The sequence below is a fragment of the Homo sapiens genome, chromosome 12, assembly GCF_000001405.40.
Source record: "Homo sapiens chromosome 12, GRCh38.p14 Primary Assembly".
In the NCBI taxonomy this organism is placed as follows: domain Eukaryota; kingdom Metazoa; phylum Chordata; class Mammalia; order Primates; family Hominidae; genus Homo; species Homo sapiens.
Genome location: NC_000012.12, coordinates 72,098,223 through 72,116,171, shown reverse-complemented (window position 1 = coordinate 72,116,171; position 17,949 = coordinate 72,098,223). Strand labels below are relative to the sequence as shown.

The following is a 17,949-nucleotide window of genomic DNA, read 5'->3' as shown; positions in this document are numbered from 1 at the left end:
GACATGGATGAAGCTGGAAACCATCATTCTCAGCAAACTAACACAGTAACAGAAAACCAAACACCAAATGTTCTCACTCATAAGTGGGAGTTAACAATGAGAACACATGGACACAGAAAGGGGAACATCACACACTGGGGCCTGTCAGAGGGTAAGTGGGGGAAAGGGAGGGAGTGCATTAGGACAAATACCTAATGCATGCAGAGCTTAAAACCTAGATGACAGGTTGATAGGTGCAGCAAACCACTATGGCACATGTATACCTATGTAACAAACCAGCACATTCTGCACATGTATCCTAGAACTTGAAGTAAAATTTTTTTAAAAAAGACATATAAATGGCAAACAAGTGTATGAAAAGGTGTTCAACATCATTGATTATCAGAGAAATGCAAACCAAAACTACCAGACATCATCTCACCTCAGGTAAAATGTCTTTTATACAAAAGACACATAATAATAAATGCTAGTGAGGATGTGGAGGAAAGGGAACCATTGTACACTGTTGGTGGGAATATAAATTAGTACAACCACTGGGGAAAACATTTTGGAGATTTCTCAAAGAACTAAAAATAGAGCTACCATATGATTCGGCAATCTCACTGTTAGGAATATGCTCAAAAGAAAGGAAATCAGTATATCAAAGAGATATCTGAACTCTTGTGTTTATTGTAGCACTATTCACAATAGCCAAGATTTGGAAGCAACCTAAGCATCTTATCAACAAATAAATGGATAAACAAAGTGTGGTACTTATATGCAATGGAGCACAATTCAGCCATAAAAAAGAATAAGATCCTGTTATTTGCAACAACATGGACGGAACTAGAGGTCATTATGTTAAGTGAAATAAGCCAGGCACAGAAAGACAAACTTCACATGCGGAAGCTAAAAATTAAAACAATTGAACTCATGGAGATAGAGTAGAATAGTGGGAGGGGGGTGGGGGAAGAAGGAATGGTAAGGGTTACAAAAATATAGTTAGATAGAATAAATAAGATCTAGTATTTGATAGCACAACATGGAGAGTATAGTCAAAAATAACTGTACATTTTAAAATAACTTAAAGAGTATAACTGGATTGTTTGCAACACAAAGAAAGGATAGATGGATACCCCATTTACCCTGAGGTGATTATTACACATTGTATGCCTGTATCAAAATATCTCATACACCCCATTAATATATGTACCTGCTATATACCCACAAAATTTTAAAATAAGAAATTTTTTTAAATAAAATAATAAATTTATCTTGTAGTTAACCCAAACCTTGCAGGAACCATACCATGAAAATAATACTAAGGAACACAGTTCCAGTTTAGTTAAATTGTCAGGGAACAAATTACCACAGAAACAAACATTTTAGCCTCTGTTCTCCTCCTTACTCCTCACATTCTTTACTCTCTGCACATCCTGTACTATTTATGGGTCCCCACATTTGATCTATAAGCCTTCTTCCATCTCACCTCCAAACCACTGCACACACAGTTGACCCTTAAACACCCCTGAACCGTGAAGGTCCACTTATACATGGATTTTCTTCCACTTCTCCCTTCCCTTTGACAGCAAGCCCAAGCCCTCTTCTTCCTTCTCCTCCACCTACTCAATGCGAAGACAATATAAAGGTGAAGACCTTTGTGATAATCTACTTCCACTTAATGGAATAGTAAATATATTTTATTTTCCTTATGATTTTCCCTAATAACATTTCCTTTTCTGTACTTACTTTAAGAATATGGTATATAATATTTATAACATAGAAAATATATGTTGATCAACTGATTGTTATTGGTAAGGCTTCCTGACAACAGTAGGCTATTAGCAGTTAAGTATTTTAGAGTCAAAAGTTATACATGGATTTTCAGCTGCACAGGGGTGGACACATCTAACACCTCAGTTGTTGCAGGATCAGCTGTATTTTCGAATGCTCTTGAGGTGCCCGTGAAATATTTAGACAGGAATGTTTGACAGAGTTTGAAAGACCCAGCATGCTTTTTTTTTTTCATTCCCCAAAATGTTAGATCCAGGAGCCCCTGGCATAAACCTAAACTCAGAAATAAGAGGATATCACTCTTGGACCCAAATTTCTCTGAATGCAAGACCTGCAGGTAGGCCTGTCTAGAAAACCAACCAGAGAAAGACTGACAGAACCAATGAAGATTCTGGTAAAAAAGAAAAAAAAATCTAAGGTAAAACCTTAACAAATAACCAGCTGAGTTGGAATATAAGCTCTTAGAGTGCAAAGAACCTGATGTAAACCATATAATGAGTAGCACCTAAGCACTATGATGAATAAGAAAAAAGGACCCAGGTCATATAGAAAGTTCAAAGCATCTTTCAAGGTAATAGCTTGTTTATTCTTCCCAATACCATAATATCAATTACATGATATTATGATATAATAAGAAATATATATTTGGTTTCAGTCCTGGGTTCCTGGCACAAAGCTTTTCAAACCCCTGGAATTTTCTAAATAATAGGGGTGAGTCTAAGGTGACTCTTGGTGGGTCCCTAGAAAGCTCAGGATGGGGGCTGGTTGCCAAAGGAACCAATCATGTAATTAAAGAGTTGGAATTGGGTGCGGTGGCTCATGCCTATAATTTCAGTACTTTGGGAGGCTGAGGCAGGAGGATCACTTGAGTTCAGGAGTTCGAGACCAATCGGAGAAACATAGGGAGACTCCATCTCTATAAAACTACGTATTTTTTGCAGAAACAGGGTTTCGCCATATTGGCCAGGCTGGTCTCGAACTCCTGACCTCAAGTGATCTATGCACCTCGGCATCCTAAAGTGCTGAGATTATAGGTGTGAGCCACTGCACCCAGCCACTAACTGCAAATTCTTAAGAGAAGATTGAGCTCAGTGGCTCACACCTGTAATCCAAGCACTTTGGGAAGCCACAGTGGGCAGATCACTTGAGCCCAGGAGTTCAAGACCAGCCTGGGCAACATGGCAAAACCCTCTCTCTACAAAGAAAAAAAAAATTTAGCCAGGTATGGTGATGTGCACCTGTAGTCCCAGCTACTAGGGAGGCTGAGGTGGGAGGATCACGTGAGCCTGGGAGGTCAAGGCTGCAGTGAACCATGATCACACCACTGCTCTCCAGCCTGGGTGACAAAGTGAGATCCTGTCTCAAAAAAAGAAAAAACAATTCTTAAGAGAAAATCTGCCTGATTCAACTTCTCTTTGGAAATGAAGGTACAGGTCATACATTACTGGCTAGCCTGTGTAATGGCTGCCCTTTGGTGAGATCCCTACTGCTGAGGTTCACCTTAGGCCTGTGAAGCTGGTTTGAAAGCCAACAAAATGTAAAACGATCACATGGCTAAAAATTGGGCTTCACAGGAGACAAAGCCTCTAAGTCAGGCAGTTTTTCACAGAATGCAGTGTGAGTAGGCCAGGACTTAGAAGTTTAATCCATCTAGGAGTGTGATTAATGGCTTGCCAAAGAGAAATGTAAGTCATCTTACTGATGTATTTCTTACATTGAATTCTTACGATGTTAACCATATCAGATTAAATTCAGTAAAATATCAATGAGATCAAATTATCTATGAAAGTGTGTTGAAAAGTAATTACCATCATATAAATATGAGGGCTATTATCATCAGGAATTCAATGTTTTCATTTACTTATTTAATAGGTGGTACCTACTGTGTGCCCTGTACTACACTATTTACTGGAGAAAGCAGTCATCACTTTTCAAATTCCAGTTACACCAATGCTGTGAGTGTACACATATTTTAAAGCAATTAAATGATTTTATTTCTTTTCAGATGAAATCTGAATGGCTAATCACGGTTACTTTTCAGCTTCTAAAACCTAGACAGCAGACACGACCAGTCCTGAGTGAGACCTCTAAGAAATACACAGCATGCTACAGAAAGTACATCGCTAATTCAATGAAGTGGCATATATTGCTTTATGTCAGTGCTGAACAGATGCCCTAGTACAGCATCAGGAAACCCTGCTGCTGACAGTACTATATTTCAAAGGTATTTTAAAACTCACTTCACAGTCCCCTCCTGGCTCCCAGATACTCCGTGGCTCATATATTAAAGCAAGGGTAGGTAGATAATGAGCGAATCTTTTTGTATATATACACATTTCTGCTTTCCAGATTCTTCCCAGGGTATTAACATCAAGTTTAAACTTTTTTTTTCTTAATTTTTTTTCTTTATACCTCCTTTCCCCCAACCAAACACTGTAGCTTTGCTGGATAATACTGAACAGCTGCAACGTGCTACCCAGTGGGATTGCTGAAAATTTTGGCAATTGCTAAAATGACTCTGTGTAGACACATATTCACACATGTAGAGAGAGAAAAATTGTTTAAGAACCAGGGGACCCATCTGAATGAAAGATGCCGGCTAAGTGCTAAACATTATTATTTCATCTGAAAGAAGAATGAGGCAGAGAAAAATAATTTTTGGTAAGGCTAAAAATGCCTCAGAAGTATTATGTTAATTATTATCACAAAAGTTCATCAAGAGCCTCCAAAATCAGCAAACTGGACCAGAAATCTATTTCCCTTCTGACAATCTTTCAGCCTGAACAAGCATTCTTGCTTCTAATTACTTCAATTAAAAGTGCTTTATAATAAAATGTTGTCATTTCTCTCCCTCAGACCTTAGAACTAGGGAGATAATTGTCAAATTGTTCTTTCATAGTCCCAAATGGGATTTTGTTTCCAGTACAATGAGCTGTTTCATTCCACTTTCTACTTATAAAGAAAATAAGTAGCCTTTCTAAACTACTGAGGGAAGGTTTGCCTTTTTGTATGTTTGCTTGTTAAATAGTATGAGAAACTGAGTAGAAACAGTTAACACACAGATTCTCCTTTTGCTTACAGTCCTTTATCACCAGGGGCTGTCAAATACACACAAACTCATGTATCTAACATACATCATCAGGATAAGGAAATCAGATTATCAATAGAACCAGTGTTCCTGCTCTCTGAAATGGACTACTGCGTTGTTTCAATCACATCTGAAACATGAGTTAACGTTCAACAGCCAGAAAACATTTTTTCTCTTAAAGAGGGACTCCAGTAACTAAAGTGTGCCTCAGATTCCTCACAGGGGACATGGAATTATAGCTGGTAATGACAAGCACCGACTGGCGAAGTTGACTTGGTCAATTACCCTCTGCTGAACTAGAGTCTATACGACACATTTCACAAACATAGATTGCCTGAGAGTGACAGGAAAAGAGACATACTTGTACTTGCCAACTTAATAGGGCATGGTTCTCATTTGAGCACATCGGAATTGTACTCTATTTTTCATCATTTCCTCCCATTAAAACAATAACACAAATCTTTACTTGGCCATTTAGGCTCGTTTACAAAACAACAGTTTCTGCTAGAGTTATAGATCACTATTTCTTTCCTCTGTCTATATTGAAACAACTCTGCTCAATGTAAAATCTCCTACCCACAGTTCATATGGAATAAATCATTGTAGAACAGCAATCATGGCATCACCTAGAGTCAGAATATTAATTACCTAATATCTTATCAAAAGAACCTAGTGTTATTTAATCTAAGATATTCGATAAAGTTTAAAATTTTTTCCCCAATGTGTTTGTACTCTGGCTGGGATAGAGGTATGTTATGTAGAAATTAGCGTTGAATAACAAAGAAATTCACAACAGACAGAAAACTCTAATAAACCATATCCTCAGATTCAAATGACTTTCCTTCTATGCTGGTCTTTGAGAAGAAATGTGGGGCAATTAAAAAAAAAAGGTGAATTTTGACATCAGACCTGAGCAGGTTCAATCCACATGTTATTTAAACTCTCTGTACCTTGTCTTCCTCACTTGTAAAGGGAGGCCTTATCTCACCTGACTGTTGTAGGAATGAAATGCCCACAGGATAAAGCACTCTACAGATAAAAGGTGTCAATATACATGACCTCGCTTGGAGTAATCAAGTTTTACACAAAAGTTTAGTAAAATTATTATATAGGGAAAATGTGTCCTCAGCACTCCCAATCCCACATTTCTACATGGTTTTCCTATTTTGTTAACCTCATCTTAAACTTGCAGATTCCCAGTGATAGTGTCCCATTTTCTCTTATTAAAGTGTATCCAACAGACTGAGGCATTAGGAACGTGATGTGATGGCTTTCCCAGAAGCATTTGCATTTTAACAGAGAGATGTTTCAAAAATTATTTGACCCAAGAGGAAAAATTACACATGTATAATTCGAAGGAAAGTACCTACAGACTTTTCCATCATCTCTGACTGCACAGAGATGCCTGTGTAACCAAAGCCATTTCCCTCTTTTCCTGCTAAGTAAAGCCCAATTTTCATAGAAAGGGAATGTGCTCAGCCACAGGCAATGAGTAACAATTTATCTAAACCAGTCATGCCAATCCCATTCCAGTTCACCAATTAAAGTTCTAAGAGTAGACATATAACGCAGTTTCCACAAATATAAGGAGAAGTCTCCTAGTGATTTTGGGGGAAAATATCTCCCCTAGAAATGAGGGGGAAGGTATTTTTTCCTTTCACCTTTTGTTTTGTTTTGTTTAAAACATTGTTGTGTAAAGACATTAACTTAAAGCTTTGACAGCCATTTTGTCACCACTAGAGAAAGTGCCACCATAGAGAAAATAGCAGTCGGAAACAGTAGGAGCCTAGTTGTTAGTGATACCATTGACCTGCTATACTAACTCTAGAATTTCTTACTTATTATGTGATATTAGTTAAGTCGCATATATATTTTTAGTCAGGTATTCTGTTATATGCAGCCAAGCATATACTAATTTATAGACACTCTTTTCTTTGACTATCCTTAGAAACCTCAGGAGAAATCACAAAGACAAAAAGAAAGCTTAAGAGATTAAGAGCAAAAATAGCATCTTTTATAGTATGAGAGAGGCTAAGAGTATAAGCTTTAGACGTAACAGGATATATTCCTATCTTTAAGGTGGGCCAAATTGATGTCAATTCTTACTCTACTCTACTGCAGCATCTCTGTGAGGGCAGGAACCCAGTCTTCATCACACCACTAGCACCTGACAAATTGCCTAGCACATAGTAGGCAATCAACAAACATTTGTTGAATGACTACATGATAATTGTGGAGTGATTCATCTAATTTTGTTGTAGCTTTCTAATGCTTTGTGTTGTGGGGACCTATGGACCTCTCTGCAACAATTGATTTGGAAATGAAGCCAGAAAACAAGAATGGCTTTCTTTGCTTCATCTTTCTGTTGCAAATGGCTCTATATTGCAGACCTATAACACAAATGCTTCCCTCCCCAGTGGCCTACACAAAGCTGTGATTTTCTTCTGATTCTCTATTTTTAAAAAGTCTAAGACCATTCGTGTGTTTGTGTTTCTTTGTGTTGACTGTAGGTTTTGATATTGTTGCCAGTTCCCTTCTCATACTGTCAAATTTTGTTTTATGTTCCCGTATTCTTTCAACCATTTCAGGGGCGAAAATGCTAATTACCATGGGTTTAATAGCAGTTCTGAACTGCACCAGAACACCAGGTTCTCGCAAATACCTGTCACTGCAGAAGTTTTCAATTACCATAATTCCATTTCTAATTCAAATTACCATAATTGCCCTCCATTAATGCAACTTTCTTAAAGCTGAAACATCGAAGAAGAAGCTGGCACTCACATTAGCTTAGTTGACTACTTGCAAAAATAAACAGCATCTGTCCATTTTGCAAACAGGATGATGTTAGCCTGAAAAAATATATGTATCAGTGTTCTGAGTTTGTAATATCTATCATATTATATTATAACTATTCTGTCAACATATGTAAAAACTGAAAATCATTCATATATCTTCCTATTTCTTCTATTCTGGATGAGGGGTAAGAACTGTTCTTCTGATAGTTTCAGTATTCACCACAACAACAAAATTCAGCCTATCTACTCCTTAACTAACCTAGTTCTTACAAATCCATCTATTTGCATAAAAAGCAGTTTTGCTGCCCTACAATCAACAATATCACTTTTAATGATTCTTGTTTTTCTGAGCAAGTCATGCTTGCTTTTCTCACTTATTGGTGTGAAACAAGACCACTTCCCAGAATTGGCTGGTTTGGATTTTAGTGCTATGCCTTCTCCTGGCTGTCCCTAGCATTTTATTAGGAAGCCATAATTTTTATATTTGAAATACAGGCAATATTTGTACTTGAACTGTGAAAAAACACCCGAGGAAAGCAGGCAAAACAAAAGGTCACATCATTAGTTGGGTGATTAGAATACACGGTTCCAGGGAAGCAAGTATACAGTCCTTTAAACCAACATGTGAAACAGTGAAGTATTCTTCAATAAATCAATTCATTAAATTTCAAAAAATGTCTAAATTAGATTTCAAAAAATGTCTAAACAGGCCCTGTAATAAGTTCATTTTAAATTCTCAGCAAATGATCAAAGCCATTGATAATTTTCAGTCCTGCAGAGTCTCTGTGGTATCCAGCAGTTTAAGTCAGCCATTTAAGAGCCACAGTAGCTTTGAAGGCTGAAAATTCTGTGTCTGCAAATGCCATGGGCACCTTTAGGATTTAGCTCCAGGCTGTAGCAATGTAGAACTCTTTGTGGAAGATAGAAAACAGAGAACAGTCCAATCTGTTGGAAGATTCTAAAGAGTTCAGAAAGAGAGTTCACCTAATTACCTACATCCAATCAACAGAGAGATCCAGCAGATGAAGTCACAGGTTACGGCTAAACCCCAGAGGCATCTCTCACTTTGTGTGCTCCTAAATATTTTAGCATATATTTAGGTGATTATTGCATTTTGCTCCTCAACGTTGGGTAGAAAATAAACCCCATTGGTACCAAAGACTTTATGATACCAGATTTCTATCAGTGAGAAGCAGTCTGAGGATAATTGGAAATGAACTTCCGACAAGTAAAAAACAAAGCTGCCAATGAATTTGTGGGATAGCACATTATTAGACCTTCATATTTTTGAGGGACTACACCAAAATTAACTGTTACTCCTGGCCTAATTTTTATAATTTTCTTCTGGCTAAAAAGCAACAAAGTGTATGGATACATTAAGGTAGGAACAGAATTAATTAAAATAGACATGTCATTACTATTCATTTAGATAAAACTTAGAATATGAGTAGGGAATATGCAAATAGAAGACCAATTCCAGCACTTGGCTTGAGTCTACACAGTCTTGGAGTGATATTTCTCTGATCAGATGTTGAGAAGTTCAAGTTGCAACCTGTAGGCCTAAATCTCAGATTCATCATCTGTTATTTGAAGATGGTACCCTATGGGTTGCTGATGAGATCACAGATCAGAAAGTATTTTGGATATGGTTGCACACCTGAAGTTTTCTCTCTACCACACAGAGTATTGTTTAAAAACCAGGACCACCTAGAATAGTATATGGCAAATGGGAGATATTCAATGAATATCTGTTGAATGAATGAATGAATGAGTGAATGAAAATAGAGGCAATAAGTAAATTATCAATGCTTTTACAATGTGGCAATATCCACTATATCGGATTCTTTGGCCTATCACAGTAAGAGTAGAATTTATAAATAGTCAAGGTTTCAAACAGGTAAAAGATCTCTGAGGGATCAATATTACAAAAGTTATTCACTTTCAACTTTGCAAGCTAAAATACATCTAAGAATGTATTGAGCTTCTTTAACTACATTTACACATATAAAATGTGCCAGTCTGTGCTAGTTTCTTATACATATATAATCTCATTCGTTGTCTTTCTCTCTCATATCTGTTATTCTCAGTATATATTTCCTTTTAACTCACCCCTTTTCCTTCACTTTTGTTTATTTACCTTTTTCTTTAACTAAAATCAATTAACAATAATTTTTTAGTATTTTTCACATTTATTGAATAAAATCTTAGATTTACAACGTTTAAACTTTTAAAGTAGACAATTTCAATATTTTAAGTGATTTTTTCCTCAGGAAAAATCTGAATATGGTTAGTTTCACTTTTTCAGGAAATCAGAGACATTGAATTTAATTTTAAAAATTGAAAAATGTCCTCCTGACTTGGAAGGTAAACAGTGCTACTGTAGCTCAGACTCTCACAACCCTCTGATGTTGCAGGCAGCCTCCTGATCATCTGTTCCCCATTGGTTACTCCCCAGGCCACATTCTGATATCATCCACCAGCAATACATTAATGTTCAGGCAGCAAGGCAAAAACACTAACATGACTCAAGAGCTCTTAACTCTAGTCTGATCTCAACCACTTTCCAGCCATATGAATGTAGGAAAATTGCCTAGGAAGAGAGAGGTATATTTGAATGGTTTCAAAAATAAAATAAAGATAGAAATAAATAACTGCTCTACTAAATTCAGGGGATTGTTACAAAGCTCAAATGAAATAAAGTATTTTGTTGTGTGTAAAACATTATACACATATCAGGTGTTATTAAACTTTAAGATGTATTACCTTTAGTGGCATAGCACAGCAGTGAAAAGCACAGACTTGGAGTCAGACTGCCACCTATTAGCTGTATGATCTTGACCACATAACACTTGTGCCTCAGTTTCTCTTCTGTAAGATAATAATAATTGTAATTATGGACTTATTGTAAGGACTAAATGAGATAATATTATATAAAGCACTTCAAATAATTCCTGACCCGGAGTGTTGTATTTTTTATTATTACCATTATTATATTATTCTCTGGCTGAAAATTCTATTGTGATTTCCATGCTTGGCATTCACAGCTGTCCATAATCTTACTTTTCCTCCACTTTCTTTCTACTCCCAAACACAGACCAGCTCTGCTCTGGCTAGACCACTCTTCCCATTGCCCTGCATTTAATCCTGAATCCATGCCTTATTCACTTAGCATCACTTATCTGAAATGCTCTTTTCTCTGTGATCTCTCCGTTAATCAAATTCCTGTTCCAGTCCCACCTCCCCAACCACTTGAGCCATGCCCCACACCTTCTCTGAGTTACAATGGCAGCTTTAATGCAGACTGTTCACCCAGAATTTTAACCATGTACTTCCTTGTACTGCTGCTGATACTGTTTGACAGCATCTTCCCCTTCTGCAAAATGTTCCCTCAAACATGGTAGCTCTAAAGTCTGAGGCCCACTTCCTTGGCTATCTGACTCTCACAGCTGGTTAGTCCCTCCTTGAAGTACTTCACACTTGATGGAGAAGAAAAGCCCTCTCCTCTCTGTCATTGAGCTGCATTAGTGTGAGCGTGGAGCTGCTAACAGCCATGGTCCCAACTCTATGGAAAAGCTAGCATGAGAAAATAAAGGGAGCACAGAGAGAGGCAAAGATGAGAGATGTGAAGTGGAAATATGGATGCTCTACTTCTTGGTTCAAAATGTCCCTGAAGCTAGTTCTACCCACTGTTCCAAGTCCTTGGCTATTGAGTTACATATGTCAATAAAGTCCCCTCTTGTGTTTTTCACTTGTTTAACTGTTAATAGTGTGGCATGGATACTGGAAAATATATCTTTTTCTTATTAACAGGCCTCTGTCCCACAGCCAGGCTATTTTCAGCTTTAATTATGTGACTTGTCCTTGTTCATTATCCATATACCAATGAAGAGCAACAAAAGTAAGTGACTCGTTGCTGACACATGGCATTTCTTGAGCAGCCATTAATTAGCAAAATAGCACTTGAACATAAATTGTTAAGGAGTGTCAGCAAATAAAACTGTAATCAGAATTTTTTTTCTCCCTTCTTGTGTACGCACCTTTGTGAATTGCACTAGGCAATTTCTAACTTTAATTTAGAGCTTATCAAGGAAACCAAGTATTACATTAATCTTTAAGAACTGAGTCTAAGTGTGCTTTACCCTCTCTATTCTCTCTTTCAGAAGCAAGAGATGACCCAAGCCACACACATGCATCTTCTCTCCTCTGCTGAGAGTCTCGGACCCTCACATGGAAGGACCACATAGTTGAGCTTGGTCTCATTTTTAAGGCGTTTAATAAATAGCGACTGAGCAAATGCTATGGACCAGGCCCAGTGCAGGTAAAGGGAAATATAAGAGTAAATAATAAAATTTATGCTTGAACACCCATTGTAAGCTTATCTCCCCACACCCATATATTTCAGACTTCACCGATTTGGTGTGTGTCAACTTCCATCTGCTAGTATCTGCATCTCTGAGCTTGAATAATTCTTCCAGAAAACCACTCCTCCAGACAATGGAGGTCAGAAGTCACAGAGAATTACCACCTCCCTATGCCTCTTCAGCCTCCTATACCTTGCCTTCTACAGCTCTCAAGCAATGATTAATTGGAGTGGGTATGGAAACACTCTAATTTCTTTGACACTGGAGAGGCAGAATGCTGAGACACAGGAGCGGCTCAGTATTACCATCTTAATAATGGACAATTTATTGGCCTCCTCTCCCTTGCACTATTATTTTCTACATCCCTGTCAGTATTTTCTGTATTTCTCCCCTTGAAAAAGGAAAAGAAATTACTTGCATTCCAATTTTTGTTTCACTGTCTGCTTTCACGGCAACCCAAACTAAGACCATTTGCCCTTAAAGAACTTATACTGTAATGGGGAAGGCCAGCTTGCAAATAATATTCCTTTAATAAAGGAATGAGGACTGTGGAAACACAGAAAAATAGATGCCTCTATTCCTCATGACTCTAAGAGCAACCACAGAGAATCCTACCACAGGATTCACAGTAAATGAAAATTGTATAACAGGGTCTTCAGCAAGGGATGCTGTAAGTCGTATCTTTTATGACTACTGCTATTGATACCTAGCTCCCTTATGCCATACTGGTCTCCTTTCCCTGTGACCTGGTTAGGGCCTTATTAACTCTGTCTCCTAATAGTCTTTTAAGTGGCAGACTTTCCAATGAATTCATTGAAATAATAATTATTTAGTGATATTTTAATATGATACTTCCTTAGGATACAATGTCCTAAATATCGGATCTAACATAGCTAGCTTGGCAAAGGATTTTAAGGATTTTAATCTCCTTCTTTACTTTTCAAACCAAGACACTTTTATCCTAACTCACTAAATTTTAGCTGCATTTCCAAATGAGACCTAATTGTTCAAATTGTGTCTCAGACTGGGCTCTCTGGGACGCTGACTCTGAGATGGAATTTCATGCACAGGGTGTGCTTTTGGGAAGAAGGAAGTAGGATTGAGTAGAAAAAGAAGTCACACTGCAAAGCAAGTCAATGTCAGAGGAAGATGTGAAGCAAGCAAGGATTGTTAGTTGTCCTGTGTTTGGCCAAAATGGCCAAGCCTAGTTAAGCCATTGGATACGGGCTGCCCAAGAATATGGCCTTCGGTGAGCAGGTGGTTCTCTGCTGCTGTGACAATGCCTCCAAGGTGTCTTCTGAGAGCACTCCCACCAACTGGGGCAACAAGCCCTTCCTTGAAAGGTAATCTAGATGGTGCATCCACGACTATTCATGATACACTGGGATCTGCCTAATTTCTCAGCCTCATGTTCATCTTCACAGGGGCATATTTTAACAGTTATAGGTTAGAAAGTTGTATATTGTCAGTGATTCCCCAGAGTTGCTCCCCTTCTCCTCCCCTTAAACTCCCAAAGCTTTTGCCAAGATGTCCTAGCTCCATATATATTTTTTGGTAACCCATAAGCTGGCTATTATCAGCTGAACTAGTTAAAGTATAAGATTGGAACTTAATGCCATAAATAACCAAATTTAGGGTTAAGGTTAGCGTCAAGCTGGGATATGGAATCAGGTGGCCCAGCAGACTCAGGCCTATGGGTTTAGGTCATCTAAGACAATCAAGTTATTTGAGTATTCAATGAACCTATCGAATTCCTGGCATTTCTCTGTGTCCTGGAGCCAAATCCCTCTGCCACGTGTGGAGAGTCTTTGTATGACTGAACCAGTCTGGCTTGAAAGAAAGCTCCTCTGAGGTGACTATAGGTTTAAGCATGTCCCTCTGTCACCCTCCTAATGCCCTACTCTAAGCCCTGCTATTATCTGAAGGGCAGCAGAGTAGGAGGGCACCCACACACTGTGTAGCACTGGGATGTGAATTTAGCTTGTCCAGATACCTAAATATATCTGAGGGCTATGAAAAGCATAATTTGCACCAAGTCTCTACACTCCCAATTGTGTTCATTTTGCTTAATTACTGCTTTCTAAAGATTCCCTGTGTTCCATCGAGAGGCCCTTGCTTTAAGCAAAGATTCAGACAGGAAGAGGCAAAAAGAAAGAATCTATGTATTTAACAACACACTTTGAAATTTTAAATGATCTAAACAAAATAGGCTACCTTTATAATTAATTATGTTTTGGATTTAGAAAGGAACTTTGCCTCTAATTCAAAGTGAAAAATTATACATGCATTTACTATTTTCCAGGGTACCCACGCTGTACCATTTCAAATTCATGTTTTTCTCAGCCTGTTCTGTCTTTACCAAAACAGTCAAACAAAATAAACATAAAGATAATAGCACAATAACAAAGGGACATGAATAATTGGAATGTCTCTTCAGTCAGAAGCATTTTTGCTTCTACTAAAGGATTACACTATGATAAATATTATTACCTTCAAGATCAATGGAATGAAGGATCTGCCAAATCGAATGCAATGCCAGGAAAATCTATATTGTATTTACAGATTTCAGATGGAAAGATACAGCATTCATAGCACAAAGCATTTGTGTTCTCTTTTCTCCACTCACCCCTCAATTTCCTTCCAGAACCAAAACTATTTGCGTGACTTATTGGCAGAAAGCTTCTTGTTCTTAGAGTTGATACTGTAATCACCAAACAGAAAACTTTGAAAGGATTGTACATCAGCCATCCTTGAAACCAAGACTCAAAGCAGCCACTCACTCTGTGTCTACTGCTTCATTCCTTTCATGCTGTTCTCCTTAGAAGAACTAAGTTATTATTGAAATATAATCACCCCACCTATATTTCGAGCAGACGACCTGAGTAGATCAAATGGATTTGTAAACATTTATTGGCTGTTTTGGTAAAGTGGTATAATGTAATCATGCACTTCGAACTTCATTAGCCATGCAAAATTCCCCAGGTCAGTATTTACATTTCAGCAGCTAATTTATTAGGCTTCTAGATGCTGTGATTCAATCAGCTTCACAGAATCCACTTTGGTAAGGCTATGCTGACACAGAAATGATGGAGGGCAAATAGATTCAAATTAGTCAGACTGCAGTCACACTAGCACATCACTTTACCCTTCATTTACTTCTGAATTTGGGTACATCGCATGCAGCTTTATTTGCATCCAGAAGACCCAGAATATGCCTTCTAATGAATTTAGCAGCCAAAATGAATCACAGCTATTCAGAGGAAAGTATGAGGGATCTTGTTAAGGACTTAGCTTTCATCAATTTTCAGATTGACATAACCCTGTCATATATGTGAGGGGGTCAATGACCCAGCTAATGATTTAATAAATGGAAACAAGCCTTTCACTTTGGTAGAATGACTGGGTCCTGATCACAAATATGTCTTGGAGAGGTAAGTACAGCCAGGAGAAAGAGAGGTCATTTTCATTTCAAGGGTCCTATTCTTCACCTGATCCCAAAGGGACTAGCAAGCAGCAATTTTCAGAAATCTTTATTTCTCTATCTTCTCCCTCAGAGGAAGTAGAAGGGATGTCCACAGAAGATAAATAACTATGACAACAGCAAACACACCACAGTGATTGGGTTGGACCCAGTGGGAGCTTCTCTCATGCTACACTTTGCTGACCTTCTAGTAAACATTTATTAATGGTAACAAAAGCTTAAACTAGACAAGTTGTTGGCTTTTCGTTAAGTGTTCGGAGTACTAAAGTTATAACAAGAAGCTAGGAATAAGACAGTTCATATTAGTGGCCAAAACAGGAATATAAAGTGCAATAATAGCTGCAATCTGAGAAGTAACGAGGGGGCATAGCATTAAGTAACATTTGAATAATTATTATGTGGTATAAATTGTACATTTTCTCATTTAATCCTCATAAAAAGCCTTACACAGTATTATTTTTGCCCCTATTTTATAAATGTAGGGACTAAGGCACAAGGAGATTCAGCAGTCTGCCAAGGGTCCTACAGTCTAAATAATATAATTAGATTTTTACCCTGAGAATCTAACTTTAAAGATAGATTTCCTAACCATTATTTAAAGTAAGATCTACCCATTGGTATTTTTGATGAATCTTTAATATCTCTGAGAAAAAAAACATTGTAAAGGGTCAGTAAATATAAGCTCATTCATATCTTTACTACCTACAGAAATCTCTGCACGTCCAGATATTTTCCTGGGATTTCTGAAACATTGTACCCTTTCAGAACATATCTTGTTAAAGACTTACCATTGGTGTTAATATTAGAATCAACATAAAAATCAAAATGATAGCTACTGAATGGTTTTCAGAAAATGTAAAGAGTCTTTGAATTGCCATCTTGAGCCTGAACTCTAGATTTCCATTCTTATCTTAAAATATGATAATGTGGATTTTTCCACTGAAACATTTGTTTCACTAGATTTAAGTCTACATAAATATTAACCTAAAAAACAGAGTCTGAGTCTGTATCTACATGAAACCATTATATTTCTTTGCCAATTATCACTAAAAATTCCACATGCTAATAAGAGAGATATGAAGGCTGGCATTCATCGGATTTTCTTGATATATAGCTGAGTCGAAGCATAATAAGATGAAATCAACTGACAGGTTATGTATTTAAGGGAAAAAAAATTCAAACTATACATAGTCAATCCTTACCTGCTCGTCACCATATCAAAATCCAAGAACAAAACCTGAGTCTTTATACCTAAAGATTCTCAGTGTGAGACACTGCTGTCACAGTTACCCTCTGCAATATAACAAGTATTCTAAAAATTAATGGTAAGGCTATGCTGACATAGAAATGATGGAGGGCTAATAGATTCAAATTAGTTAGACTGCAGTCACAGTAGCACACCACTTTACCCTCTGTTTGCTTCTGAATTTGGATATATACAAATGGAATTTTTAGTGGTGATTGGCAAAAAAATTTAATGGTTTAAAGCAACAATGTCTTTTTTTTTTTCTTGACAGAGTCTCACTCTGTTGCCCAGGCTGGAGTGCAGTGGCGTGATCTGGCTCACTGCAACCTCCACCTCCCGGGTTCAAGCGATTCTCCTGCCTCAGCCTCCCGAGCAGCTGGGATTACAGGGGCCCACCACCATGCCCGGCAAATTTTTGTAGTTTTAATAGAGACAGAGTTTCACCATGTTGGCCAGGTTGGTCTCGAACTCCTGGCCTCAGGTGATCCAAAGTGCCAGCCTCCCAAAGTGCTAGAATTACAGACGTGAGCCACGAAGCCCAGACAGTGATTTATTCTTTCTTACAATTCTGTGGGTTTTGACTCAGCAGTTCCTCTGCTAGTTTTGCCTGGGCTTATTCATGCATCAGCAAGGCAGTCAGCTGGCTGGGAGGTGCAAGATGGCCTCACTCACATGTCTGGCAGTTGGTTCTAGCTGTTGGCTGGGTTCTCCACATGGTCTCTCATCTTCCAGTGACTAGACAGTCTTCCGTACAAGAGGATCTCAGGAAAACATACCAAGGGAGGAGGTAAAATGTATCTGGCCTTTTGAAGCCTAGACTATGGGACACAACATAACTTTTACCAAATTCTACTGGTCAAAGCAAAACAAATCTGGCCCAAATTTAAAGAAATAAAACAAAAGATTCCGCCTCTAAATTACAGAAACAGCAAAGTTACATTGCCAAAGAGCATGCACTTTGGATAGAAGAAATTGTGGCCATAAACGATTACCACAACCACAAAAAAAAAATGTTTAAAAAGTCATCCAGATTGACTGCATCAATGTCAGCATTTCAAGGTCCTAGTTGTGATATTATACTAGAGTTTTGCAAGATTTGACCACTGGGGGAAACAGGGTAAAAACTACACGAGCTCTCTCTGTATTATTCCTTATAACTTCATGTAAGTCTGCAACTATTTCAAAATTAAAAGTTTAATTTTTAA

The 17,949-nt window shown here is 37.8% G+C and overlaps 1 protein-coding gene across 1 annotated transcript in view; it reads right to left on the bottom strand.

Annotated features, from left to right (window-relative positions):
* TRHDE (thyrotropin releasing hormone degrading enzyme) overlaps window positions 1-17,949 on the bottom strand; it is a 583,493-nt gene that overhangs the window by 554,587 nt on the left and 10,957 nt on the right. The window contains exon 2 of the mRNA XM_017019244.2: window positions 10,420-10,524. The gene's annotated coding sequence lies outside the window, so the exon portion shown is untranslated. The remainder of the gene's footprint in view (window positions 1-10,419; window positions 10,525-17,949) is intronic.